At 53.0% G+C, this 26,811-nt stretch overlaps 2 protein-coding genes and 1 non-coding gene across 173 annotated transcripts in view, besides 2 other annotated features; 1 reads left to right on the top strand and 2 right to left on the bottom strand.

The window, feature by feature from the left end:
- MAP4 (microtubule associated protein 4) overlaps positions 1 to 20,067 on the top strand; it is a 238,154-nt gene extending 218,087 nt beyond the window's left edge. For 48 of the 163 annotated variants that reach the window (NM_001384845.1, NM_001384839.1, NM_001384817.1 and 45 more), the window contains 6 exons: positions 1,435 to 1,548; positions 3,424 to 3,516; positions 13,250 to 13,331; positions 15,402 to 15,514; positions 17,410 to 17,599; positions 17,723 to 20,067. In NM_001384845.1, the coding sequence (NP_001371774.1) occupies positions 1,435 to 1,548; positions 3,424 to 3,516; positions 13,250 to 13,331; positions 15,402 to 15,514; positions 17,410 to 17,599; positions 17,723 to 17,730 (600 nt within the window). In that variant the 3' untranslated portion in view covers positions 17,731 to 20,067. Of the gene's footprint in view, positions 1 to 1,434; positions 1,549 to 3,423; positions 3,517 to 13,249; positions 13,332 to 15,401; positions 15,515 to 17,409; positions 17,600 to 17,704 lie in introns of all 163 variants that reach the window. The other 115 variants (NM_001384867.1, NM_001384680.1, NM_001384816.1 and 112 more) reach the window with 12 other exon arrangements.
- Positions 17,986 to 18,503: an enhancer, noted in NCBI's record as "H3K27ac-H3K4me1 hESC enhancer chr3:47893749-47894266 (GRCh37/hg19 assembly coordinates)". NCBI's record gives its function as "activates a minimal SCP1, AML or CMV promoter by ChIP-STARR-seq in naive H9 embryonic stem cells {active_cell/tissue: H9 hESC(naive)}" and the evidence as "EXISTENCE:reporter gene assay evidence [ECO:0000049][PMID:30033119]".
- DHX30 (DExH-box helicase 30) overlaps positions 20,569 to 26,811 on the bottom strand; it is a 47,056-nt gene continuing 40,813 nt past the window's right edge. For all 9 annotated transcript variants that reach the window (NM_001330990.2, NM_014966.4, NM_138615.3 and 6 more), the window contains 13 exons: positions 24,910 to 25,062; positions 23,761 to 24,597; positions 23,414 to 23,489; positions 23,226 to 23,330; positions 22,806 to 22,981; positions 22,376 to 22,582; positions 22,212 to 22,293; positions 21,945 to 22,138; positions 21,683 to 21,842; positions 21,413 to 21,570; positions 21,208 to 21,311; positions 20,993 to 21,132; positions 20,569 to 20,895 (listed from right to left, as the gene is read on the bottom strand). In NM_001330990.2, the coding sequence (NP_001317919.1) occupies positions 20,642 to 20,895; positions 20,993 to 21,132; positions 21,208 to 21,311; positions 21,413 to 21,570; positions 21,683 to 21,842; positions 21,945 to 22,138; positions 22,212 to 22,293; positions 22,376 to 22,582; positions 22,806 to 22,981; positions 23,226 to 23,330; positions 23,414 to 23,489; positions 23,761 to 24,597; positions 24,910 to 25,062 (2,646 nt within the window). In that variant the 3' untranslated portion in view covers positions 20,569 to 20,641. The remainder of the gene's footprint in view (positions 20,896 to 20,992; positions 21,133 to 21,207; positions 21,312 to 21,412; positions 21,571 to 21,682; positions 21,843 to 21,944; positions 22,139 to 22,211; positions 22,294 to 22,375; positions 22,583 to 22,805; positions 22,982 to 23,225; positions 23,331 to 23,413; positions 23,490 to 23,760; positions 24,598 to 24,909; positions 25,063 to 26,811) is intronic.
- MIR1226 (microRNA 1226) lies at positions 21,133 to 21,207 on the bottom strand. Its single transcript, NR_031595.1, has one exon. It is a non-coding gene; the product is annotated as a microRNA 1226 (primary transcript).
- Positions 23,490 to 23,591: a silencer, noted in NCBI's record as "fragment chr3:47888661-47888762 (GRCh37/hg19 assembly coordinates)". NCBI's record gives its function as "represses an EF-1alpha promoter that drives an FKBP-Casp9 reporter gene in an ReSE screen in phorbol 12-myristate 13-acetate-treated (for megakaryocytic differentiation) K562 erythroleukemia cells {active_cell/tissue: K562(+PMA)}" and the evidence as "EXISTENCE:reporter gene assay evidence [ECO:0000049][PMID:32094911]".

Genomic DNA, 26,811 nt, shown 5'->3' with positions numbered 1-26,811 from the left:
TCCATTTCCACCCACTGTTCCCAGGCCCACCAAAGAAGCAGGCAGTCAGGACACTGGACTCAGCATCAGGGTATTTCAGCCGGGGCTCTGTAGTGGGTTTTGTGCCCCAGCAGCAGGGAGGCGGGGTAGGCTGAGCTCTGGGCTTTCTCTTCCTGTCTCAGTAAGAAAGGCTCCTGTTCTAGATGTTGGGGTCTGAGTTTACATTTTTGCTTGGATGTAAAAGGATTCTTTTGTAGAAGAAACAGAGGAGGCCTCAGAGACTCTGCAAGTGAGAGAGACACTTGACATGAGCCTAGTTTTTCATGGTTCTTAGCCTGCACAGAGAATGTCAGGATAGGCAGAAGGTAGAACACCTCTTACTTCCACAACCCATGACTTGAGTGGAATATATCTGAAAGAGGACTAGGGTGTCCTCTTATGGCCAGGATGAGTCGTGCTGTGAGCCTCTGGCCTTCCTAAACAGCAGGACTGCACTGCATATAGTGATGGAGAAAGATCACAGTGCTTCACTTTTAGGATTTTCCGGTGGTTAAGATTTTCTGGTTGCATCAGTCCCAGAATTATTTAACTGTTGGTAACCATGGGAACTCTGCGTGAAAAGGTGGTGATGAAAGTCCGTCTGAGAATGTTCGGGTCCCTGGAGTAGTGACCATCTCATCTCCTAGGTCATTCACTAGCTCTACACCACCACCACCATCCAGGGCAGCATACTTAAATTGCTTAATCTGGAGCTGTTAAGAAATTCAGGAGGGACAAAAATGAGGTGGAATCCTGGTGCTGTTGGAAGACACTGATGGCAAGCTGAGATCAGTCTAGAGAAGAGCCTGAGAGTTGCTTGTGGTAGCGACAGTGGCTCTGGTGTGCCCAGCAGGCCTCTGGGCTGTGCTGCTGATGGCCTATCTCCCCGTCTTTGCTCTTATGGTTTCATGGTGCAAAAGTTACAGGAGTTCTTGGGTGGGGAGTTGAGTGACTTGATCTAGTGAATTGTTTTCTGCTTCAACATACCTAAAGAGTCTGACACTTTCTATCAGTATTGACTTCCTGTGACCGTGGCAGCTGCTTGGGGCATATCAGGACATTTGGCATGGGGTGGGGGGTATTGTAATTGGAAAATCATGCCCCAGCACACTCTCAGAATCACTAATTTGGTTGTCTTAGCCTTCCTTTGTGCCTTTTCTTCATTAGCTAGTGTCTTGATCTGTTCCTCATGTCTTAAGACTATGGCCTGCAGCTCCTTCTTTTGTGGTCCTCTACTCAAGGATCTTTGACTTGGTCTACCCTGGGAAATGTATGGTTTTGCCTAGGATCAAAGGCCACCTGCTTTTGCCTGGTGGCCTGACCTGGATTTGAGTCCCCTACAGCCTTCTTCCCTTCTTGGCTTTTGAGCTCTTATCCTCTTGGTTTGAAATTTGCCCTCCCTTTATCTCCATCCAGGCCAAAGTAGAGAAAAAAACAGAGGCAGCTGCTACAACCCGAAAGCCTGAATCTAATGCAGTCACTAAAACAGCCGGCCCAATTGCAAGTGCACAGAAACAACCTGCGGGGAAAGTGAGTTTTATTTAGACCCACCTCTGCAAGGTGAAGATGGTAAAATACTTCTTCCAGCCTGAGCCACATGCCCTCTCTTGCACTTTTTCCCTTTCCCTAACTAGTTTCTACTTCTTCTCCCCTATATTCCCTTCTCTGTGCTTGATGACTCGGCCATCAGAAAATTTTTTGTATTAACCTTGAAAGTTAATAGAGTTGGGAGCCCATTAGCCCTTTGGAGAATACATATGTGTATAATTTTTGGCTGGATAAAATGGATCCAAAGACTTTCATTCATTTCCTTCACACTGACCTTGATGTGAAACCTACCTGGTATGGATGCAAATACAGTGCACCCACATTCGTTATCAAGAAGACATGGCAGGGGTAATTTCCACCACCTGGAACCCTGGAGCCCCTGTGCTTTACCTTGAAGTAGAAGATCCCTCTCATAACGCTGCTGGGTATGGAGATAACTTCATTTGTCCTGGTTCCCCGGGTCACCTCTTAACTGAAAGTTAGGATGCTCATTCCCAATGGAAACCCACTTAGTATAGGTATGCAGCATCAACTGGAGGGCAGAGGTAAGCTGAAACCACAGGTTCTTTCCCCTTGCCTCTGTAAACCTGGAAACCAGGCCCCTCCTGAGTGCTTGCAACACCTACCTTCCTTAGCTGTAGCAGGTAGGTGTGCCTCTGCCAGAGAAGCCCGCACTCCAGCCCTTAGGGACCAGCATGGGAAGTCTCAGCCTAGGGCATTCCTACAGTGAAGAAAGCTGCACCGTGGCTTCTGGGTGACTACTAGAGGTCCTAGGTTCAGACCAAGGCTCATTAAGTAGTTTGCTAACCACTTGGTTACCATCAAAGTTGTGAAAAAGGCTAGAAATGAGTAGGTACAATGAGGTATATGGGTTGGAGTTTCTCAGGATTTCTGTACTCTGTGGAGAACTCTTCAGCCTGGGACCTGCATCATTTGCAAAGAAAGGAAGTTGGCAACTATTCCTTCTTGAGAAGGTCCTAGGATTCTTTGTTCCAGACTCTTAGAGCCAGGGCCTTGGTGTTTCTCAGTTCCAGGGGAAGCCATTCCCGTACTATACAGTGTGGTTGTGCCCCCAGGATTGGGCGTCCTTGCTGCCCTGCTTAGAGCCTGTTCTTTCCGCATGGGCATCTCACAGGGCAGAGGATTAGGCATATGGAGGATTCAAGAAGGTATTTTACCCTTGAGTCAAAAATACTATGCCTTCTCGAGCCCTGAGACAAATGGGCTAAGTGTGGAGGCTGTAGCCGCTCCCCTGGTGTTGGAGATTCTGTATCCATTTGTATGCACATCTGAGCACTGGCCCCTCCTTCCTGTTAGTATCATCCGTGCCCTTGTTGCCAGCTGCCCAGTGCTTCTCAGAGCAGCCTTTGCTTCTGAGAGTGGGTCTGGCTGCAGCCATTCCAGGGCCCAGATTTAAGGGAAGCACCCTCTTTGGGTGAGAACAGGTCCACATGATAAGACTTGCAGAGAAGAGCCAAGGACACTGTGCCCAGCTCTTGAGGAGGGAGCAGAGCAAGGAGGTAGGGCTGTGCCTGGTTGGGCATCAGGTTAGGCTGCTGCCTGGGCCTTGTGAACCACAACCCCGCCCCCAAAGGAGCGGTGATGACCAACATGCAGTGCCTGCGCAGCTCTGCTCCTGTCGTTGTGTTGTCTGTTCACGTTTTTCACTCCCCTTCTTGCTCTTTCACATTTCTTTTCCTGTGCTTTTCCACATCTGTTCTGTAGAAGGTGGGGGTGGAGGTTTAACAACACTTTTTGTTGGTCATTGTGATCACGTGTGGACTCACTGCCTTCCCTGTGTCGGTTCTAACCAGTCCTCTCCCTTTGTGTTGTTTTTTCTATTTTCTAACACTCCAGGTCCAGATAGTCTCCAAAAAAGTGAGCTACAGCCATATTCAGTCCAAGTGTGGTTCCAAGGACAATATTAAGCATGTCCCTGGAGGTGGTAATGTAAGTATAAGCTCTGGTTAGCTGGCATCTGAGATATAGCCCACTGTGGGGTATACTAGGGAGAGAGCCAGGTGCCCATGTAGATAGAATCCCAGTGACCTGAGCTGTAGCGTTCTGTAAGAAGCAGACTAGCAAAGTGAGGGGACCTTGATGCTCCCATGTTAGACAGGGTGTTTCTGGTGAGCCCCTAAACACCAGCATGGTGATATCCACTCAGTATCTTTTTACCCATATGGGTGGGAGGCTTTGGATTTTTCTCCAGCTATGTCAGAGCCTGGGTCTGAGCACAGTGGTCAGCAGCAGACCTGTTGCCTGTCTGGAGTCCGTTCCTGGGATGTGTATGTCGGTCTGCATGCCCTTGAATTACCGTGGAAGTAACTTCTCTGAGACAGATGTCTGGATGGATCTTTCCAGAGCTCATCTTTGAATCCTTGTTATTATAAAATAAGAATTAATCAACATTTTCTTCCTATCCCTTCCCCACGTTTTTTTGAGATGAAGTCTCACTTTGTTGCCCAAGCTAGAGTGCAGTGGTGTGATCTCAGCTCACTGCAACCACCACCTCCCAGGTTCAAGCTATTCTCCTGCCTCAGCCTCCCGAGTAGCCGGGACTGCAGGTACTCGCCACCATGCCCGGCTAATTTTTGTATTTTTAGTAGAGACGGGATTTCACTATGTTGGCCAGGCTGGTCTTGAACTCCTGACCTCATGATCCACCCACTTTGGCCTGCCAAAGTGCTGGGATTACAGGCATGAAACACTGCGCCCGGCCCTCCCATTTCCCTTTCTGCTCTCCTTTTTTTTGTCCATTTTCTAATCCCTTCCTCCTTTTTCTTCCCCTCCTTTTTTAGTCCCTTTTCCTGTTTTTTTGTTTGTTTGTTTGTTTGTTTGTTTGTTTTGTTTTTGTTTTGATACAGAGTTCACTCTGTTGCCCAGGCTGGCGTGCAGTGGTGTGATCTCAGCTCACTGCAACCTCCACCTACCAGGGTCAGTCAATTCTCCTGCCTCAGCCTCCCAAGTAGCTGGGGCTACAGGCATGCGCCACCACGCCCAGCTAATTTTTGTATTTTTAGTAGAGACGGGGTTTCATCATGCTGGCCAGGCTGGCCTTGAACTCCTGACCTTGTGATCTGCCCGCCTTGGCCTCCCAAAGTGCTGGGATTACAGGTGTGAGCCACTGCGCCCAGACTTTCCCTCCTTATCTTTTTGTCCTCTTTCCTCTTCCACCCAAACATCCTTCTTTTTGTCTTGCTGCCATTGTGTGCCAGCTCTATGATGTGTATTAGGGACACAGGTGATCCCAGCTCACAGGGAGGTTCTGGTCTAGGGAGAGACAGGGCGAAGTCTTACTATCGTCGAGTGTGTGAAGAACACCCTGTGTGCTTTCCGCTTGTCACTGTGACAGTGCCTAGAAAAGTGGTACTCTGTGGAGTTGTGCCAGAGGCACCAGAAGCCGCCATGTACAGCCCCTGCCCTCACCGCTCCCTTCCAGGCCAAGTGAGACAGCCTGTCTTGCCTCCGTTTCTTTTGAGTTCATTCGGTTCTTTCTCCTTACTGTCCTGAACCGGACTAGGTCCTGCTCCACTTACCCTTATCATTTTTAGACTCTGTTAACACTCCTGCCTCCTCCTTGGTGATCATGACATCCTGCCCATGGCCTACAGATACCCCCAGCAGTTGTATCATGAGGAATGCGGCCATGAGCTTTCATTCTTGCCCCACACAACTCCTTCCTGCCCCTCCTTCCTGGTCATCTTCTCACCACTGCCTCTTCCTGGCCTGGGTAGAAATGGCATCCTTTACACTCGGGTGGAATTGCTTGACCAGACTAATTAGTCAGCCTGGAATAGGATCAGCTGAAGTGAGGTGACAAAGATCCAGCCCACGAGGGGCCCAGGCAGCTGCTGAGCCTGGCTTTGTCCTGGATGAAAACAGAAGGTGAACAGGGGTTCTGAGGGAACTGGGTCACTTGTGTAGGTGAGACATAGAGATATATTTGTGTGTGTTGTGTGGTGCATATAAGAGCTCTGAAAATAGTCATCATTAATGTATCACCTGCTGTGATCTTTCCACACTGCCTACACATGACCTCACATGTGTAGGGTTTTTTGTTTTGTTTTGTTGTTTTGAGGGTGAATGTATTTTTAAAGCCTTTTCACTTTAGGAGGCTTCCTTAAACAGAGAATTAGGGAGACTACTGTGAGCCATCTTTCCTGGTGGGAAGATGAGGATAAACAACAGCTGACCACAGCTGGACCCAGGTGCTTTGTTTCCTTCCATAATCTCTGTCAGTCCCTCCCTAAAGCCACCACAAGGAAATGTGCAGTTTAAAATGATGAGCCCCCCAGCTGGGCACCATAGTAAGACCCCCGTCTCTACAAAAAAAAGTCTTGCTCTGTCGCCCAGCCTGGAGTGCAGTGGCGTAATCTCGGCTCACTGCAACCTCTGCCTCCCAGGTTCAAGCGATTCTCCTTCGTCAGCTTCCCGAGTAGCTGGGATTACAGGCACCTGCCACCATGCCTAGCTAATTTTTGTATTTTATGTTATGTTATGTTATTATTTTATTTTTGAGACGGAGTCTCGATCTGTCACCAAGGCTGGAGTGCAGTGGTGCGATCTCGGCTCACTGCAAGCTCCGCCTCCCGGATTGATGCTATTCTCCTGCTTCAGCCTCCCGAGTAGCTGGGACTACAGGCGCCCGCCACAATGCCCAGCTAATTTTTTATATTTTTTAGTAGAGACGGGGTTTCACCATGTTAGCCAGAATGGTCTCCATCTCCTGACCTCATGATCCGCCCGCCTCGGCCTCCCAAAGTGCTGGGATTACAGGCATGAGCCACCGCACCTGGGCTAATTTTTGTACTTTTAGTAGAGACGGGGTTTTGCTATATTGGGCAGGCTGGTCTCGAACTCCTGACCTCAGGTGATCCACCCACCTTGGCCTCCCAAAGTGCTGGGATTATAGCAAGAGCTACTGCGCCCAGTCCCAAAAAAAATATCTTTTAAAATAAGGCCAGGTACAGTGGCCCTGGGAGGCCCAGGCAGGAGGATTGCTTCGAAACCAGCCTGGGTTTCAAAGCAATTTTAAATTAGACATGTGCCTGGCAGCATTAGGTGGCATGTGCCTGTGGTTCCAGCTTCTCAGGAGGCTGAGAGGGGAGGATTCCTTGAGCCTGGGTAGTTGAGACTGCAATGAGCCGTGATGGCACCACCACACTTCAGCCTGGGTGACAGAGAGAGACACTGAAAAAAAAGGGAGGAGGACCTGCTGTGCAGACAGAACAGCATTACACCCCCCACCACTCCCCACACACACACACACACCCACACCCACACACACACACACAGAAATAACGCAGTTACCACAGGGATGAGAGGCTCCAAACAGGATCCTAGTTAGTGCTCCAAAAATGCCCCCGACAGACAGACAGACATACCCCTTGATGAGAGCCAGGAGGACACCAGCGGAGGGGAGGGAGGGGAGTGATGAGCCAGTGCCAATGTAGTGGCTTCTTCTGTGGCTGGTCCCAGTTAAGATTTTGTGTCCGTTTTGGTTCCATTTCACCCTTGCAAGGGGCTGTGCATGTGTAGTGGGCACTGAGACCTGCTGACAGCATGTTTTGGTACCTGGAGTGTGCCTGCAGGCTCTCATAGAGCGGCAGGCAGCCTGTGTAAGCACAAGCAGAGCAAGGTGTGTGATGCCGTGATTGCTCCTAGGACCACAGAGAGCCAGCGTGGCTTCTGCAGTCCCCGAGGAGGGGACACTTGGGCCAGCCCATGAAGGAGGCGCCGCACATGGTTCCCTGAGGCTGGAGCATAGAGTGGAGGCAGGGTGGTGTGGGGGAATCGTTTGGAAGCAGATTGTAGACTCCTCCACATAGCCACCTAAGGAGGGAGAGCTGTAGCCTAGAGGTGGTGGACTTTATTAAAGTGAGTGAGGCTCAGTTAAGCTTTTTAAAACTTTTTACTGGGCTGGGCACAGCGGCTCATGCCTGTAATCCCAGCACTGTGGGAAGCCAAGGCAGGCAGATCACCTGAGGTCGGGAGTTCAAGACCAGCCTGACCAACATGGAGAAACCCCGTCTCTATTAAAAGTACAAAATTAGCCAGGCCTAGTGGTGCATGCCTATAATCCCAGCTACTCTGGAGGCTGAAGCAAGAGAATCGCTTGATCCTGGGAGGCGGAGGTTATGGTGAGCCGAGATTGTGCCATTGCACTCCAGCCTGGGCAACAAGAGCGAAACTCCGTCTCAAAAAACAAAAACCAAAAAAAAAAAAAACAACTTTTTATTGTGGGAATTTTCAAACACAGACAAGTAGAAAAAAACAGTAAAATGAACCTGATGTACCTTTTACCCTGCCTCATTTACTATCTACATGAGCAGTCTTGGTTTATCTGTATATGCCTATCCCAAGTATTTTGAAGCCAGTCCTAGATATATTATTTATTTGTTAATACTTCAGCATATAGCTGGGCGCGGTGGCTCACACCTGTAATCCCAGCAATTTGGGAGGCTGAGGCAGGCGGATCATGAGGTCAGGAGATCGAGACCATCCTGGCTAACACGGTGAAACCCCATCTCTACTAAAAATACAAAAAATCAGCTGGGCGTGGTGGCACGTGCCTGTAGTACCAGCTACTCAGGAGGCTGACGCAGGAGAATCACTTGAACCCGGGAGGCAGAGGTTGCAGTGAGGCAAGATCACGCCACTGCACTCCAGCCTGGGTGACAGAGCGAGACTCCGTCTCAACAAAAAAAAAAGGAAAAAATTGATCCATATATTTAAAATAGTAACACTAATAAGATAATACAAGCTATAACTCTTTTAATCTTAAGCTGTTTTTACTCTACAAGTCCCCACTCCATTCTTTTTTTTTTTTTTTTTTTTTTTTTTTTTGAGACACAGTCTCGCTCTGTCCCTCAGGCATGAAACTATAACACATTTAAAATCATATTTTTGTATAAATAGCTTTAACATTTCAAGTTATTTCTCTAGGATATATTCCTAACATAGGACTCTTATGTCAGAAACTACATCTGTTTCATGGTGTGGGCTACCTAGGTTTTTTTTTTTTTTTTTTTGGAGACAGAGTCTCGCTCTGTCACCCAGACTGGAGTGCAGTGGCGCGATCTCGGCTCACTGAAACCTCCGCCTCCCGAATTCAAGTGATTCTCCTGTCTCAGCCTCCTGAGTAGCTGGGACTACAGGCACCCGCCGCCACGCCCGGCTAATTTTTTGTATTTTTAGCAGAGATGGGGTTTCACCGTGTTAGCCAGGATGGTCTCGATCTCCTGACCTTGTGATCCACCCACCTCGGCCTCCCAAAGTGCTAGGATTACAGGTGTGAGCCAGCAGCTTTTTTTGTTTTGTTTTGTTTTGTTTTTGAGACAAAGTCTCACTCTGTGGCCCAGGCTGGAGTGCAGTGGCGTGATTTTGGCTCACTGCAACCTCCGCCTTCTGGGCTCAATCAATTCTCCTGCCTCAGCCTCCTGAGTAGCCAGGATTACAGGCGTGCACCACCATGCCCTGCTAACTTTTGGGTTCTTGTTCTTGTTGTTGTTGTTGTTGTTGTTGTTTTAAAGACAGAGTCTTGGCTGGGCGTGGTGGCTCACACCTGTAATCCCAGCACTTTGGGAGGCTGAGGCAGGTGGGTCACAAGGTCAGGAGTTCTAGACCATCCTGGCCAACACAGTGAAACCCCGGCTCTACTAAAAATACAAAAATCAGCTGGGCGTGGTGGTGCGTGCCTATAATCCCAGCTACTTGGAAAGCTGAGGCAGGAGAATCGCTTGAACCAGGCAGTCGGAGGTTGCAGTGAGTTGAAATCATGCCATTGGACTCCAGCCTGGCGACAAAGTGAGATTTGGTCTCAAAAAAAAAAAAAAAAAAGACGGAGTCTCGTTTTGTCACCCAGGGTGGAGTGCAATGGCACGATCTCGGCTCATTGCAGCCTCTGCCTCCTGGGTTCAAGAATTCTGTCTCAGCCTCCCGAGTAACTGGGACTACAGTGCCCACCACCACACCCAGCTAATTTTTGTATTTTTTGTAGAGATGGGGTTTTACCATATTGGTCAGGCTGGTCTTGAACTCCTGACCTCAGGTGATCCACCCACCTCAGCCTCCCAAAGTGCTGGGATTACAGGCATGAGCCACTGCGCCCAGCCTAACTTTTGTATTTTTTAGTAGAGACAGGGTCTCACTGTGTTGGCCAGGCTGTTCTCGAACTCCTGACCTCAAATGATCCACCCGCGTCAGCCCTCCCAAAGTGCTGGGATTACAGGTGTGAGCCACTGTGCCTGGCTCATTCTTTTTTTTACTGGTAATTTCCTTGATGGGTAAGCTCAGTGGTTTGTCCTAGAATCTGGATTCTTCTAATTACATCCTCATGGTTTTAATTAACATATTCTGTTGTCCCTCAATTTTCTTTAAATTTATTTGGTTTTGGTTTTTTCCCCACATGCTAGCATGACATGTAAGTAGGTAATGAGGTTTATTCTGTGAGAAATTACATTCATGTCTCATTCTTCGGTTGTCTCTTTTTTTGTGATGTTGGCAATTCCTGGACCTGTGGGTTCAGTAGGCATATGCCGTGGTAAGACTAATTCTAGCATTACTTCTTCATTTACCAGCTGGAATACATCCATAATGTGAAACTGACTGCCCCTCAACTATTCTTTAATTGCATACTAGACAAAAGGTCAAGAGATAGAGGCTTCAAATATGGAACACTGTCTAGAAATCTGTGGCCCTGGCCGATGCAGTGGCTCACACTTGTAATCCAAGCACTTTGGGAGGCCAAGGCAAGTGGGTTGCTTCAGCCCAGAAATTCGAGACCAGCCTGGGCCACTTGGCGAAACCCCTTCTCTACAAAAAAATGCAAAAATTAGCTGGGCATGGTGGTGTGCGCCTGTAGTCTCAGCCACTTGAGGGGCTTGAGCCTGGGAGGTTGAGGCTACAGTGAGCTAAGGTCATGCCTCTGCACTTCATCCTGGGTGGCAGAGTGAGACCCTGTCTCAAAAGAAAACAAGAAAGAAATCTGTGGCTCTACATCTTGGTGAGGGCCCTGGGCTTGGAGAGTGACTGTTAACTTCTTGCAGGTGCTGTTGTGGTTACAGCTAAGATGAGCTTGTCACCATTGCTTGAAGACCCATGTTGGGTTGGTTTAAGCAGCTACCAGATCTTTGGCTGGTAAAAGTACCCTTCCCTATGCCCTCTCTTATGGGGGATAAGGATAGGGAGATGTTTGGATGAGGTCTTCATGTCTCCCTCTTCTTGAATTGGCCATTTCTTCCCCTAACAAATAACAAGATACCTTGTTTTAAACCCAGATAAAGCACTTACAGTGGTGTCATCAGCACATACTTAGGAGGAGGTATCTGTGCTGTATCCTAAACTTCCATTTTGGAGATGCCTATAAATATCTGTATAATGAACTATAGATTGAGGAGAAAAGAAAAAAATTTCTATCTAGGGAAAATTGCAGACTTTTTGGAAAGATGAGACAAAGTAGAGGCTGTGTGTTTTCACAGTAGTAACTACTCTGTATGTAATTATCAAACACGTGAAGCCATTATGGTATAGTTCCTGGTGGTGTCCCTTCAAGAGATGATATGAGAAAGAGACGGATTGAAGCGAGAGCTATGTGAGGCCGTATGGAAGGCACCTTTTGAGCTGGGCATTGAAGGATGGGGAAGAAAACATAATGGGTTTGCTGGGTTAGGCATGAGCCAAGTTTTAGAGGAAAGATTGAGAATGGCTCTGGCAAGCTGGGGATTGTGGGTAGTTATTCTGTGCCAGGCCTTGGGCTGTGGGTGCAAATACAAAAATACTGGTGGCATTATATCTGTCCTCTGGAAACATGGTGAAGACTATATTTCCTGACACCAAAGAAGGGAAAACAGGGCTCAAGAAGGTAGCTCACCATTTAACAGCTTGTGGTGAAACCCACCAGAATGGTGCAACACTGCATGGAGTTGATGTGTTGGAAAGTCAGGCTCTCCCACAGTACCTACCAGAGGACAGCGGGGCCGCTCACAGGAATGCTGGAATCCCCATCCAGCAACCCAGAGGGCATGCATGGCTATAGACTTAAAGATGCACCACCTTTTTTTTTTGAGGCGGAGTCTCTTTCTGTTGCCCAGGCTGGAGTGCAGTGGCACGATCTCGGCTCACTGCAAGCTCTGCCTCCCGAGTTCATGCCATTCTCCTGCCTCAGCCTCCCGAGTACTGGGACTACAGGCACCTGCCACCACGCCCGGCTAATTTTTTTTGTATTTTTAGTAGAGACGGGGTTTCACCATGTTAGCCAGGATGGTCTCGATCTCCTGACCTCGTGATCCGCCCGCCTTAGCCTCCCAAAGTGCTGGGATTACAGGCGTGAGCCACCGTGCCCAGCCAAGGTGCACCACCTTTAAATGCAAATTTTTGCATTTTTAGTAGAGATAGAGTTTCACTGTGCTGGCCAGGCTGGTCTCAAACTCCTAGCCACAGGTGATCTGCCTGCCTCAGCCTCCCAAAGTGCTGGGATTACAGGCATGACCCACTGCACCTGGCTGGGAAAATTGTTATAACATGGATTAAGCAGGAATACTATGATTACACACACACACACACACACACACAACGCGCACACACACACACACACACACACACACACCACCCCCTCACCTCTCCCAAGGGGAAAATGCATTGAAAAGGACTAGAAGTAAATATGTTATTCCAGGTTCTCTGGGCAAGGAGTTGATAGGTAAGGATTTGAGATGGAATAAAGGGGATATTTCATGGGAGCCTTGGTGCTGGTGTTTGGACCTGGTGAAATGACAGAAGAGCTGTCTGGAGCATGCATGGACAGGGTCTGCACAGAAAGACCTGTGGGGTGTGGAAATGGTGGTTTGGTCTGGCTGGAGGTGGGGTTAGAAGTGAAGGCTGGTGGCCGGGCGTGGTGGCTCACACCTGTAATTCCAGCACTTTGGGATCCTGAGGCAGGCGGATCACCTGAGGTCAGGAGTTCGAGACCAGCCTGACCAATATGGAGAAACCCTGTCTCTACTAAAAATACAAAATTAGCTGGGCGTGGTGGCGCATGCCTGTAATCCTAGCTACTCCAGAGGCTGAGGCAGAAGAATCACTTGAACCCGGGAGATGGAGGCTGGGGTGAGCCAAGATCGTGCCAGCCTGGGCAACAAGAGTGAAACTCTGTCTTAAAAAAAAAAAAAAAAAAAGTGAAGGCCAGGCGTGGTGGCTCACGCCTGTAATCCCAACACTCTGGGCTCTGGAAATCTGAGGTGGGTGGATCTCCTGAGGTCAGGAGTTCGAGACCAGCCTGGCCAACATGGTGAAACCTTGTCTCTACTAAAAATACAAAAAATTAGCCAGATGTGGTGGTACACGCCTGTAATCCCAGCTACTCGGGAGGCTGAGGCAGGAGAATTGCTTGACCCCAGGAGGCGGAGGTTATAGCGAGCTGAGATCGTACCACTGTACTCCAGCCTGGGCAACAGAGCGAGACTCCATCTTTAAAAAAAAAAAAGGAAGTGAAGAGCAGGGCCAGGGTGGGTCGAGGGCTCTTTTAAGTACTTAGGGAGATGACCTTGTCTTTGACCAGACTGAGATAGCAGCTTACAGAGGGAGCGAGAAACCCTGAACATGGAGAAGATTTAAAAGGTAGCATGGGGTTGGCTCTGACAGTATACCTTCTCTCTGAATGAGTCTTTTGTGTCCTTCTCTTCAGGTTCAGATTCAGAACAAGAAAGTGGACATCTCTAAGGTCTCCTCCAAGTGTGGGTCTAAGGCTAACATCAAGCACAAGCCTGGTGAGTGGTGCCTCCCTTGCCCACTGGGTCTCCAGGGTATGTCGTCCTGCCATGGGTCAGCTGGGCAGCCAGCTGGCTGGCAAGGGTTTCATCTCTGTGCCTTTAGCATCCCATGAAGACTACCCAGGACACCACAGTCCTCATTCTGTCAGGGAGCAGGAGTTCGGGTGCTAACCTCTAAGTGGAGGAGGAGCAGTTTCTTACAGCAGCCATCTGCACAGGCATTCTCTTGAGTACCTACTGTGTGTGTGGAACTATTGAGCTAGGCCTGGGGAAGTGGTGCACTCTGAGCTGAGAACCTGGATTGGCTCTAAACGAGGATTACAGAAGCTACTGCTGAAGGAGCTGTATAGAGGGCAGTGTTCAGGTCCCACCTATCAGATGCAGGAGCAAAGGGTGCTCCCAACCAGTGAAGCATCAGCCGCTAGCCCTGGCAGGAGAATGGGAGGCGTTCAGCAACTTGCACTAATGCAGTTTCCTTCCAGCAACATGGTTGGCCCAGCGCCCCTGTGGAAGTCGCTGTGCGGAGGCTGGGCTCTTGCCTTGGGTAGTCCCCTAGCAGCCTCGTGTCCTAGTTCCTGGGTCTACAGCAGATTTGTGAGTAGGACTGCTGTAGCAGCAGGCACACTGGCTGGCAGACCTGGTATCCCAGAAGGCTAGCCACCACAGGCCAGATAAGGTGAAGGCAAAACTCTCTTCCCTCAGGGCGGGCGCGGTGTCTCATGCCTGTAATCCCAGCACTTTGGGAGGCCAAAGCGGGCGGATCACTTGAGGTCAGGAGTTTGAGAACAGCCTGGCCAACATGGTGAAACCCTGTCTCTACTAAAAATACAAAAACTAGCTAGGTGTGGTGGTGCATGCCTTTGGAGAATTGCTTGAACCCAGGAGGCAGAGACTACAGTGAGGCGAGAGTATGGCACTGCACTCCAGCCTGAGCAACAGAGCGAAATTCTGTCTCCAAAAAGAAAAAAAAAAAACTCCCTTTCCCTCTCAGCGAAGAGCATGATCCAGTTTAGAATGTGTTCTATTTAGAAAGATCAAAACAGTTCTGTCCTTAACTAACCATTTTTTTCCCCTTTTATCTGGGAAATCTCCTATCAGATACTTCCTTCTCTAATGACACTGAGTCACTTAGGGTCTAGTTTTTGCCAGGGCTGGGTTTCCCAATATGGGACACCGGGAGACCTCGGCCAGAAGCTGTGCGTGGAGGTCTGCCATGTGAGCTGAGAGGAGATGGAAGAACAGGAGAAGGGGCCCAAGGGAAACCACGCTGCTGGGCGCGGGAGGGGCTGGGTACTCATTGAGGGCAGCTCGTCCCGCACCCTTCCCCTTGGTCTCATGGGCACACTCTGGCCAGTGAGCTCTGAACCCTGGGCGTGAGTTCAGACCACTTTCCCTCCCCGTCCTAGCCTGAGGTCACTAGATCCCAGGCCTGCCTTGGTCCATGTCTTTCCTTCCTCAGCGCACAGCCTCGGGGCCACTCTGTCCTTTTTATTATTCCTTCTTTTTGCTAGAGTGTGGTACGGTTTAGGGTCTCAGACAATTTTCACAACCTGTCACTGTCAATCAGCAGATTGGTGGTAACTCTGGGTGAGTCCCTTCTCTTTTGCAGCATCAGTTTTACCGGCTGGGAAGCAGGGACCGTGGCCGTGATGACAGGGCATTCATGAGAATTCAGTGAGGCTGTGCCTGAGAAGCACTGCATGGCCCAGTTAGCGGGAGGGCATTCCCACACAGAGTAGAGAAGCAGAGGCTTCGCCCTGGAGGCTGTGCTCGGAGCCCCAGGCCTGCCCAAGCCTGGCCTGCAGCTCAGTGGCTGTGGCATGGGGTGGTGGAAGGGATGGCTTTCCTTTTCTTGGAGGTATTCCCACTGGCTGGACGGAGAGATTGTCTCAGCCTCACTGTGATATGAGAAGTCCTCTTTAGACAAACGTGTTCACTGTTCTTCATTTGCCACCCAGAACAGGTCACGTCTGTCTCATTTCTAGATTGGGCATATCGCTAGTCCTGGTTTTGCCTGCAGGGATATTCCTCTGCCACCCTAGGTGACCAGTTCCTTTGTGGTTCCAGGTGGAGGAGATGTCAAGATTGAAAGTCAGAAGTTGAACTTCAAGGAGAAGGCCCAGGCCAAGGTGGGATCCCTCGATAATGTGGGCCACCTACCTGCAGGAGGTGCTGTGAAGGTAGCGAGTGGGTCACTGGGGAGACACAGCTGGGGAGGGGTGGGAACTATGCAGTTAGGGTCAGGGTCCTCACAGGTAGGCACCTGTCACCGCCCCTCAGTCTCTTCAGGAGTCATGTCTTCACCCACACCATTGCCGTTTTCCCACCGTGTATCATCAGTCCTGACTGAGGCAGAAGTGAAGAGGCCCCAGCCCAGCCACCCCTCACCTGTCAGCTGGAGGCAGAACCTTGCTCCTGAGAGCCATGGCCTTCCTAATTGAGCCCATCCAGCCATTTGAGAAGGCCACGGACTGGGACACAGACCACCCCCAGGCGAGCGGGGGTTCTGCACCACACAGTTCTCCCCAGCTGTCTCGCGCCAAGGGGAATGTGGGTTCCCGCCCCATGTCAGGCTCCGCTCCTGGGTTAGGAGCAGGACAGCACATTCTTAGCTGCCAGCGACAGCAGGCTGCCTGGGGCCTCCCTCTGCAGGGCCTGCCTGGGGCCTCCCTCTGCAGGGCCTGCCTGGGGCCTCCCTCTGCAGGGCTCTGGGACAGAGCTCAAGTGGCAGAGGTTCCCATCCTCACGACTGGCTGGGCCTCTTCTCCCTTCCCTCTCTCCTCTTTCCTCCCTTCCTCCTTCCACAGTACTGTGAGACCTTTTGTGTGCCAAGATGCTGTCTGTCCTATGTTCCATGTCATCCGTGGGTGGGGGGCCCATGAGGGGCATCTTGCAGACCCCGAGCACAAGGATGGCTGCTGCTGCTCGGGTTCAGGTGCGCAGGGGAGAGGGGCCAGGAGCCGCTGCCCTGGGCCTTCCCTTCCATCTCTGCTCCCCAGTGCCAGCCACTGCCCAGCCCGTCCCCTGTCCCATCCTCTCCTGATGCTCTGACTGAAGCCTTGATCAGCTTCCAGGAACATCTGGGGGGGTCCTTGCTGCCACAGGCTCTCAGTTCGTGCCCCCCATACCTCGTGAGGATGCCGTTCTCACGCCCGTCTCAGTGGGGCGTTAACTTGGCTTTAGTCTCTTTTCCAAGGACACAGCGAGCGAGCGTGGACCAGGATTCACATCTGGGCTTTTCTGACCCTAAGCCTTGTGTTCTTTTCCTTGTTCACATTATATCCCTTTATTAGTTCTGGAATTATTGTTTTTAATCGAGGCCTATTTCTCACTATGCCGATTAGAAACCACTTCTCCCTTGTCACTTTTTGGGTATTTGGCGACACACGCTTTCCAGCTCCCCAGTGGCCTCTCGCAGCTGTTCTCTCTTCTCTGCCTTCCTCACACTGAGTGTTCCATGTCCCCCAAATGTCCTCCTCCTATGACGCCCTCCAGGCCTCCACAGTGTCCCTGGGTTATACCTCCTTGGACACCTTTCTGCCTCCCATGGACCCCTGGTCCCAGAATGGTGCCCCGCACAGACAAGGCCTCAGCACCTGTGTTCCTGACCAGACAGATGTGCAGGCAGGGCTGCCCGGGAGCTACTGAGGACCCCACTCTGTGTGCAGGGGGTGGCCTGGGTTCAGGGAGGGTTTGGGAGGGTGGGCTGTACCCTTCAGGGGGCTACCCTTCAGGCTTATTGCTTACTGTTGTCATGGCTACGTCTTTGGTACCAGCCTGAGGCCTGGCACCTCTGCCCTCAGAGAGGCTTCATCAGAGCCTCACATGCCACAGAGGGGCTCTGAGAGTGTGTCACTGGTCCAGCTGCTCCTGACCCTCGGGAGTCGGTCTCCCAGGTGAGGTGGGGTGGGTGGGGCCGGGGCACCTGCCTGGGATTCTCCAAGCGACTGTGCCTTGAGCCAGTGGGTGCCAGGGCAGCAAGGGTGGGGGCTGTGTGTGAAACCCACCACCATCACCCCATCCCACTCCCCCCCTCGACTGACCCTGCACTGTCTCCCCCACTGTTTCATTGTAGACTGAGGGCGGTGGCAGCGAGGCTCCTCTGTGTCCGGGTCCCCCTGCTGGGGAGGAGCCGGCCATCTCTGAGGCAGCGCCTGAAGCTGGCGCCCCCACTTCAGCCAGTGGCCTCAATGGCCACCCCACCCTGTCAGGGGGTGGTGACCAAAGGGAGGCCCAGACCTTGGACAGCCAGATCCAGGAGACAAGTAAGTGGCTGGGCTCGGCCTAAGGGCCAGCCAGGGGCCCTGCCACTGGCCGCAAATTGAAACTCCTTTGTTTTTGACTAGAGTGTGGCCTAAATTTTAATGAAGTAACCTTTTATTTTCCAGGCATCTAATGATGACATTCTGGTCTCGTCTTCCGTCTCCCCCGTGTTCCCCTCTTGTCTCCCCTGTTCCCCTCTCCCTTCCCTCCTCCCATGTCACTGCAGATTGAGACCTACAGGCTGACGTTCCGGGCAAATGCCAGGGCCCGCACCGACCACGGGGCCGACATTGTCTCCCGCCCCCCACACTTCCCTGGCGGCCCCAACTCGGGCTCCCGGGTCCTTGGCCCCCTTTCCCGGGCTGTCCACTAGACCAGTGAGCGCTTGGGCGCCGTGCTGGGCAGCCCGCTAGGCTCGCCTTCCCTCCTGCTTTGCGTGCCCGGGGCAGCAGCAGCCCTGCCCCACACCTCCTCTCACTCCCCAGCCTGGGCCCATCTCCCTGCTTTGGTCTTGCCCCATCACTGCGCCACTGCTCCGTGGAGGAGGTTGGGAGGGGGTTGGGGTGGTTGAGGCTAAGTTGGGATCTAGGAGAGGAGAACCAGATTCTATCCTCATCTTTTTTTGGTTCTTTGGTCCAAACCCAAAAGAAACTGACATGCCCTCCCTTCTCCCTGGATCTACCTGGAGGGAAGAGTGGAGGTGGATTCCGAGTGGTGACAGGACGCTGACCGTGGAGCTTAAGCCACTGCCTCTCCCTCTGGTCCCACAAATGGGCGCCCCCCCCTCCCCATGCAGGTGGTGTCGGGCCCTTCTTGCTGCCCTGCCCCAAGTTGGGGGTCAGTGCTGCCTGTCCCCATGCTTAACATACCCGCCTAGCTGCTGTCACATTTTTCTTGTTTTGTCCTTTTATTTTTTTCTAATAACCTAAAAACTGGCAAAATAGTTCTGCAGGTTGAAGCCATGTCTACATGAAAGTCCTCAGTAAGTGTTAGAGGGAACAGGGCGGAGATATCCTTATGCCACCCCCGCTGGAGGATGTGGGCAGCTTAGGGCCCTGGAGGCGGTGCGGCAGGGAAGAGGGGTGCAGAGGCTGTGGCTGGTGAGCCGGTCAGGCACACAAGGGGCCCTTGGAGCGTGGACTGGTTGGTTTTGCCATTTTGTTGTGTGTATGCTGCTTTTCTTTTCTAACCAAGAGGCTGGTTTTGGCATCTCTGTCCCATTCCCTGGGATCTGGTGGTCAGCCCTAGGATAAAAAGCCAGGGCTGGAGAACAAGAAAGGGCCAGGAGATGGAATTCCTTCAGGCCGGCACCCACACCCTAGGACATGTAAGCCCTCATGTCCAAGGGAGCCTCATGCAGATAGTAGGAAATCAGGTCTGGAAATTTAAAAATAAAAGGCATGAGACTAAGGCTATCTGCTTCCCTTATGCCCTGACTGGAGAGGGGAGGGAGGAGAGGCAAGGCCCACAGAGGGCATCCCAGCTAGGCCTTGGGATGGCTGCAGTGAGGAGAAATCCCGGGAACTGTATTGACACAAAGATTCTTATTGCACTTGTATTTTTTGTATTAAAGTTTGCATGGTTTCTAATAAAGGATTCAAACATAAGTTTGTAGTGAAATGGCCTGGGAGATTCCAAGGGCTTCTCTGGAGGGGGATTGGCTGCAGTGTAGATTTGCCTCTGAGGAGGCTGCCCCAGACTTGGCCTCCTCATGCCCCCTCCTGACCTCTGCCCTTCTCTGGTCCTGGCATCCCTGGAGAAGGTAGGGGTCTTGACCTAAGTTTAGATTTGATCTCCATGTGCAGGGAGGCTGTCCTGGGCCTGACAGGTCCTCCCCCTTTCTGAGGTAGCAGTGCCTTGTGGAGGTTTGACACCATGTCCCTAGCTCCCCAAGCACACACCAGGAAACTGCAGGGGCTCACGGAGGAAGTGCTGCCTGGGCCAGGGGGACCAGCTTTCCTCCGTAGAGACCATGTGCAGAACACTTCTGCTGTGCCAAGAACATGAGGGAGCCAGTGTTTTGTCAGCAGGAAGAAAGGGCCTGCTGGGATGAAAGTGGGAAGGAAACAGGGTTGCGTAGTCAGGAGACACCTCAGGGGCAACAGCACAGGCCCAGAGTACCTGCTGCCTCCACTGCGTCTGTCCTGGGGTCATGAGGATGCTGAGGTTGACGACAGGTTCCAGGTCCTTTCACTCCTTTGGCCAAAGGTTGGGGGTAGGTGGCCCAAGTGGCGTGCTCTCTAGGTAGACAACAGGAGTGGTCAGAGTTCCCTCAAAGGATCCTCCACTCCAGAGCACCTGAGAAGGCCGGGACCAGAGGCCCTGTGTGATGTGTACTCCGCAGCTGTTTGGGGTGGGACATTTCTGTACTTCTCGATTTGCTTATGGCTCAGCCATTACCTGTGTCAGTCCATGATTCTGTTGTAACAGTTTTAAGAGTAAATAAATAAAGCTGCCTGATGTCCCATCACGCAGGCTTCGTGCTTCTGTCTCGTTTTGCATCTACCACCTCCCTGGATCTTCCTGCCCTCAGCTCAGCCCCTCAGCTGTGAACTTGTGGATGTGGACACGGGAAGGACCACTGTGCCACATAGCCCTGCGCCTTGGCTACCTGTGGAACTCTCCCCTAGTCTGCCTGATAAAGGGCTACTTGACACTTACTTGCTTACTTACTGTCCAAAACTACAAGGACAGTGACAGTTCTGACAGGCTTCCTGTGGTGGGTACCGAGAGCAGCAGCTGTGCCAGGGGACTGGGGTGGTTAACAGCACCGCTGCTTCATGCTCTTTCTTGGTGAAGGGAGGAGGTTCCAACCCCCTTCTCTCTTAAAAGACTTGGGGCCACAGCCAGCCCGTTCCCCAGCAATAAGCATCTCACTCTCTTCTCTACCTACCTTCCTCCTTCCTCTTTGGGGAACCGTGGCCCAGTGTATGGAGGCCCTGAGAGAGGAGCCCCTAGTGGACAGCAGTGGTCACAAGGGATAAATAGAACTTTATTTTAAATAAACATTTGCACTCTGTACACAGCCCCAGCAGAAGCAGGGCTCAGTCGTCAGCTGTCTTGCGCACATCAAAGCTGCCACAGGGTCCTCGCAGCAGCTCTGCCAGTAGCGCAAGCAGCTGCCCGTGCTCCTCCTGTACGCTGGGGGGAAGTGCAGCCAGCTCGCTGCGCAGGCTCCGCTCCACCATGCGGCCCAGGGCCCGCCGCAGCTCCTTCAGCAGCCGCACGGTACGCGAGTCACCCTCCAGCCGCAGCAGGTCACTGTCGCTCAGTGAGATGGTGGCCCGGCGCCCGTCATCTGAGGGAATGGAAAAGATGGTGGGGAACTGTGGTGAGGCCAGGCCCCGGAGGAGCAGCTGCAGAGCGGGGTGGGCGGGAGGCCTGCAGGCACCCACCACGGATGTGCACGTCCCCGTCGGTCAGCAGCAGCACAGCTAGCGGGTGCACCTGAGAGGAGTCCCGGACGAAGACGCTGCCATTGGACTTGACTGCCATGAAATACGTCAGCCATCGGCTCCGTAACCGTGTGGCCTCCCTAGGGAACACAGGGCTGGTGAGGCCACCCTTTTGGACCATCCCAGCTGCCCCATCCAGGCCTGCATGCCCTCACCTGTTAATGGTCGACTTGTGCAGCAGGATGTTGCCTGATTTGGTCCTATATGTGACGCTGTTGGGCTTGAACTTCCCCTGCCGGGTGACCTTGCCCTGCCTCACCTGCAGGGATGGAGGAAAAGACGGGTGGGGCTGAGCAAGGAGCTGCAGACAGGGAAGGAGGCTGGGACCTGGTGAACTCCATTCCCTCCCAGAGGCAGCACCTGGATGAGGTTGGGGTAGAGGCCGGCCATCAGCACGCCCTTCACCAGCTCCTCCTCCTCACTGTACTCGTTGCACTGGGCGGAGGCCAGGGTGCAGTCCGAGGGCTTCCCCACCAGGAAGGCCTCATAAATGTTCTCTGAGAACTGCTTGATGAGTCCTAGGGAGACAGAATGTGTGGTGGACCTACAGCCCCTAGCCACAGGCTGGAGGTGACAGAAACTCAGTGGGGGTGGGAGGGGCTCAGGAGAGCAGGTGTGGGCCCGACTGACCGTGGATGAAGCGCAGGCTGGGTGCGTACAGCAGGTTTTCCTCCAGGTAATTCTCCCGGGAGCTGCGGTCCTGCCAACGCAGCACCTCCTCCCAGCCGGCGACAGCCCGCACAAAGGCCAGGTGGTCACTGCCGCTGTCATGGCTCAACAGTGCTTTCACCTGGGAGGGGAGAAGAGGGCAGCCGGATCACAGGCAGGGGCTAGACAACGCCCCCTCAGAACAGCAGTGGGTGGACGGCTCCAGGAAGGAGCCAGGACTGACCTTGTCCACCTCTGCCCGGTTCTGTAGGCTGCTGCTGAAGGGGTCCCGGGTGAGGCAGGAAACGACCACCAGTAGTGGGTGCAGGCAACGGAAGATGGCAGCCAACACAATGGCCTTGGCCAACCGGGGGTCGGTGGAGATGTGAGCCAGGCGCTGCCCCAGGGTAGTCAGGTACTCCCGCTGGTCCAGCACCCCTGCAACGGCTCAGCTGTCAGTACCACCCTCGAGAGCCACTCCCCAGCCCAGCCCAGCCCAGCCCCTACATACCGATCTCCTGGAGCAAGATCACAGCCTCGTCCACTGCCTTGATGTTTGGACTGTCCACAGCCTTGGACAGGAACTCCACCGCCTATGACAGAGCCAGAGCCCGCCATGAGCCTGCCTCCCACCTGCCTGGTCCCCAGGCCAGCCCCTGCCCCGCCCCGCCGCACCGTCTTCTCAGGCATGTGGATTTTCGCTTGCAGCACCAGGTTCTCAAGAGGTGTGCGCAGGATCTCTGGCACTTGGAAAGGGACCATTTTCTCCAGCCGGCTTCGAGGGAACAAGTGGTAGGCAAAGCCGGACTGGCAGCGGCCCGCCCGGCCCCGGCGCTGGATCACATTGGCTCTTGATACCCACACTGTCTCCAGGCAGGACACCTGGAGGAGGTGGCAAGTAAGCAGCACACAAATGCCACTTCCTCAGTGCTTCCCCACTCCCTGAGTAACCCTCACCAGCCCCCTACATCAGGAACACTGAGACCCCACAAGCGCGGCCTTCTGAAGACACACAAAGCAGGTCTAAGGTAGATCTGGGCTGGGGACCACCTCAAAACGGAGTCCCTCCCCCAGTGGTTGGCCGGGCCCAGGAGGTAGGTGCCACCTTGGTCTTCAGGTCATAGCGTTCTTCCTTGTGCAGCCCACTGTCCACCACATGCACGATGTCATTGATTGTGATGGAAGTCTCAGCAATGTTGGTGGCCAAGACAATCTTGCGCACCCCAACTGGAGGCTGCTGGAATATGGCCTTCTGATCCATCATGGGGATGTTGGAGTGCACTGGTGGGCAAGACACACACCAGTTATGGGCACTGCTTCCACCAGAATTCCCCCCTGGAATGTGGGCAGGGCAAGGATTTTGACCCCATTTTGATGAAACAGGCGCAGATAAACACTATGCCCAGTGAAAAGTGCCACAGCTTGGTCAGAAACCGGGGCCCCTGGAGTCCCAGTTGGGTCAGTCCCTAGGACAGAGGTCAGGCTGGTTTCCAAAGGTCCCTGGTCCCTCCGCCGGGGCTCTCACCTGGCAGGATGAGGTACTTGCTCTCGTGCATGCCCAGGGCCTCCTGGAGGCGCTGCTGCACTCCTTTGATCTCCTGCCACCCAGGCAGGAAGCACAGGATCCCACCTGTAAAGGAGCCCTGGGGCATGAGCCAGCTGTTGCTGCAAACGTGGCCAGGGCTAGCATGGGACAGATGGGGAGGCACCCACCTGGTTCCCCGCGAGCATCGATGTGCAGAACCAGATCAGTCACAAGGTCCAAATCGAGTGCGCATTCATCCTCAGACTGGGGTGGGGGAAGAGAGGCCACAGTCACAGCCCCGGGGTAAGGGGTCATGCCAAGGACACAGCCACCTGACTCAGTGAGACGGAGCCGCTTGACATCAACTCCAATCCTCACGTGTGCCACGCAGGCAGGGTTAGTCCCCAGTTTCTATCAAGGAAACCGAGGACTGGGGAGGGTAACTTGCCCCAGGCACCAAGCCCCAGGGCCAGGGAGGAGGGGCATCCACGGAGGAAAGGCCAGGAGCCTTGGGTGGGATGGGGGTGTCCCTCACCTCATGGTGCCGGTGCCGGTGCAGGTACTGGTGCTTGCCCAACTTGGCCAGGATGTCCTCTAGGTAGTGCTCCTTGACTGGGTACATGAAGCCAGGCACCTTGATGACGGGGCAGCCACCAAAGTATCGGGAGAAGCGCTCATTGTCCCCTGTGGCACTCATGAGCACCAGCCGCAGGGCCGGGTTGAGCCGCTGCAGGCCCTTGAGCAGGATCAGCAGAAAGTCTGTGTTCACGTCCCGCTCATGCACCTCATCCACGATGACGTGGCTCACGCCCTCCAGGCTGGGGTTGCTCTGCAGCTTACGCAGCAGGATACCCACAGTGCAGAAGAGCAGGGCCCCGCCTCGGGATGGGGGCTTACTTTCCAACCGCACCTGGAAGCCCACATTCCGGCGCAGGGAGGGGCCCAGTTCGTGGCTGACCCGCTGTGCCACAGACACAGCAGAGATGCGGCGAGGTTGGGTGATGATAACATTGCAGCGGGCACCTCGGCCCTCGGTCACATAGCGCTCCAGCAACAGCTGGGGGATGCGCGTGGTCTTCCCACAGCCCGTGTCCCCAGAGATGACCACCACCGGGTGCTGCTCAATGGCGTTGAGGATGGTGTCCCGATGTGGGTCCACAGGTAGCTGGGGGGCCTCCTGCCAGACCGGCCCTCGCCGCCGCCACAGTTCTAGCAGACTCTGGCTGAGACGTACCTCCTCTGCTTCCAACAGGGGCACATAGGGCTTGCCTGTGATAGGGTCACTCAGAGGCCCTGAGTCCTTGCCCAAGGGCAAGATGTCATCACTCTGCAGCCGGAGTTCTGGGGCGATCCATGAACTCTCCACAGGGTACTGGAGGGCAGGGAGGCAAGCAAAACAATGAAAAAGAAATTCCTCATTCACACACAACCAGCCACTCTGCAGGATTCGCCTGGGTCAGATGTTGTGGCCCAACCCGCTGGGCAGAGGATTAATTTAGTCCATGACTGCCCCGGGATCCTTGTGGGCAAGACTGGGCTGTTCAGGCCAGGGGGATCCCAGGCCCCAAACTCAGTGAAGAGAATGGGGAGGTACTACTGCCTGTCGCAGGTGGAGGCCTTCAGTCTGGAGAGATGGAGGCAGACTACAGGGAGCAGGGGTGGTGAGGGATGCAGGGCCTCTTACATGGTTCAGGAAGGTCTCTATCTTGCGGAGGATGGGCTCGGGCACCTGGATGGTGCATGGTCGGCGCTGGGTCTCACCCAGCTCACGCAAAGAGGCCAGGTTATACATGGCGTGTGTAAGCGGTTCGTTGTTCCTGTCCACCAGGCCCAGGCTCTGCAGGGGGACATGCAAGACTCAGTCTATGCTCTGGGGCTCCCCAAAAACCAGCCCAGACAAGCTCAGGAGCTCCAACGCATAAGTTGTGCCAAGTAATCTCTAAGAGATTTTGGATTTTGGCTGACATGGTGATGGAGGGAGAAATTATGAACTAGGAAAATGTTAACTTACCAAAATAAACGTTTTAAAAAATGAACTAAAGTTAATTCAGGCCGGGCGCGGTGGCTCACGCCTGTAATCCCAGCACTTTGGGAGGCCGAGGCAGGCAAATCACCTGAGGTCAGGGGTTCGAGACCAGCCTGGCTAACATGGTGAAACCCCATCTCTACTAAAAATACAAAAATTAGCCAGGTGGGGGGCCGGCACCTATAGTCCCAGCTACTAGGGAGGCTGAGGCACGAGAATCGCCTGAACCCTGGAGACACAGGTTGCAGTGAGCCGAGATCATGACGGTGCACTCCAGCCTGGGCGACAGAGCGAGACTCTGTCTCAAAGAAAATAATAATAAAGTTAATTCAAGAAAAGCTAAACCTGATGTGTCACAGCAGAACAGCCCTACGTCTGGAGAAGGCCCTGAGGAGAAACCACTCACTGTGTGGCTACAGCCCCCCCAACACCACAATAGGCCACTGTCACCTCTGTGAATTCCCAACATGTACCCTCAGACCAGCCAGGCCAGGCCCTCGATGCTAGAACGCACCCCACAGACTCCCTCTTCCTTTGCTGCCTCATCAAAGCCTTCCTCCCCTAATCCTTCCATCCCGCCTCCCAATCCCTACATGGCACCCGACCCATCTGTGACCCCATCATATACAGATGCACGTGGAATTTCCTGTAAATGTCGATTATAATGCAACTTGATCAAACAAGCCACTGGAAGGAAAACACTGTGTCTTACCTCCCTACATACCTAAAGCCACCTCACCAGAGATAAAACATAGCATTCCAATACCTCACGCACATGGGTAAAACTAGTCTTGTGTTCCTGTCACCTCTAATGGCTGGACTCTGCTCACCCTTCGGAGCCCAGATCAAACACTCCCTCCTTAAAGAAGTCTTCCCCCAACAGGGGCCAACCCCCTGCCTCTGGGCGTGCTGGCACCATCAGCTATAAGGACCTAAAGGACAGGAATCTGGTCCTCATACCACAGGAGGTGCCAACACAAGCTCCTTGCTGCAGGAACAGGCTTCTGCCCTCTCCCCAGACTTCATGGGTTTTACCCACCAGCCTCACTGACAAATGGCCCTCCAGCCACTGCAAAGCTTGCTCCTTCCCAGACAGGCCCCTACCATGCCAAGGTGCTTCTGCTCACAGTGCGTGTGCATCAGGCCAAAGCTCAGATGCCTCCAGTTCTACTCAGTCCTTGTTCTGCCCTCGAGTCACAGGTAGCATATCTGTGCCCTCTTTATCTCACCAATTGCCTGTCCCCTCTTCCTCGTCTTTCTCCAGGTTCTTGTTACCTCTCACCATCAGCTGTAACTAAAACATGGTTCCCAGAGCCAACTGTACCCATGAAATGGTGCACCTGACCATTCAGAGTAAAGCAGGCCCATTTCTATCTTGGTCTGCAAACTAAACCTCCACCAACATGGGTTGAGATTACTAACTCCTCAGGCAGTCAGAGACAATCCCAACTCCCTCCCACTACTGTGCCATCAGCTAACTCCACCAGCCCCTTTCAAGAGAACGGCCATGGCCAGGAGCGGTGGCTCACGCCTGCAATCCCAACACTTTAGGAAGTGAAG

This window comes from Homo sapiens, chromosome 3, assembly GCF_000001405.40.
Source record: "Homo sapiens chromosome 3, GRCh38.p14 Primary Assembly".
NCBI classification, from domain to species: Eukaryota; Metazoa; Chordata; class Mammalia; order Primates; family Hominidae; genus Homo; species Homo sapiens.
Note: the sequence above shows the minus strand (reverse complement) of the source record. Positions and strands in the feature narration are given on the sequence as shown.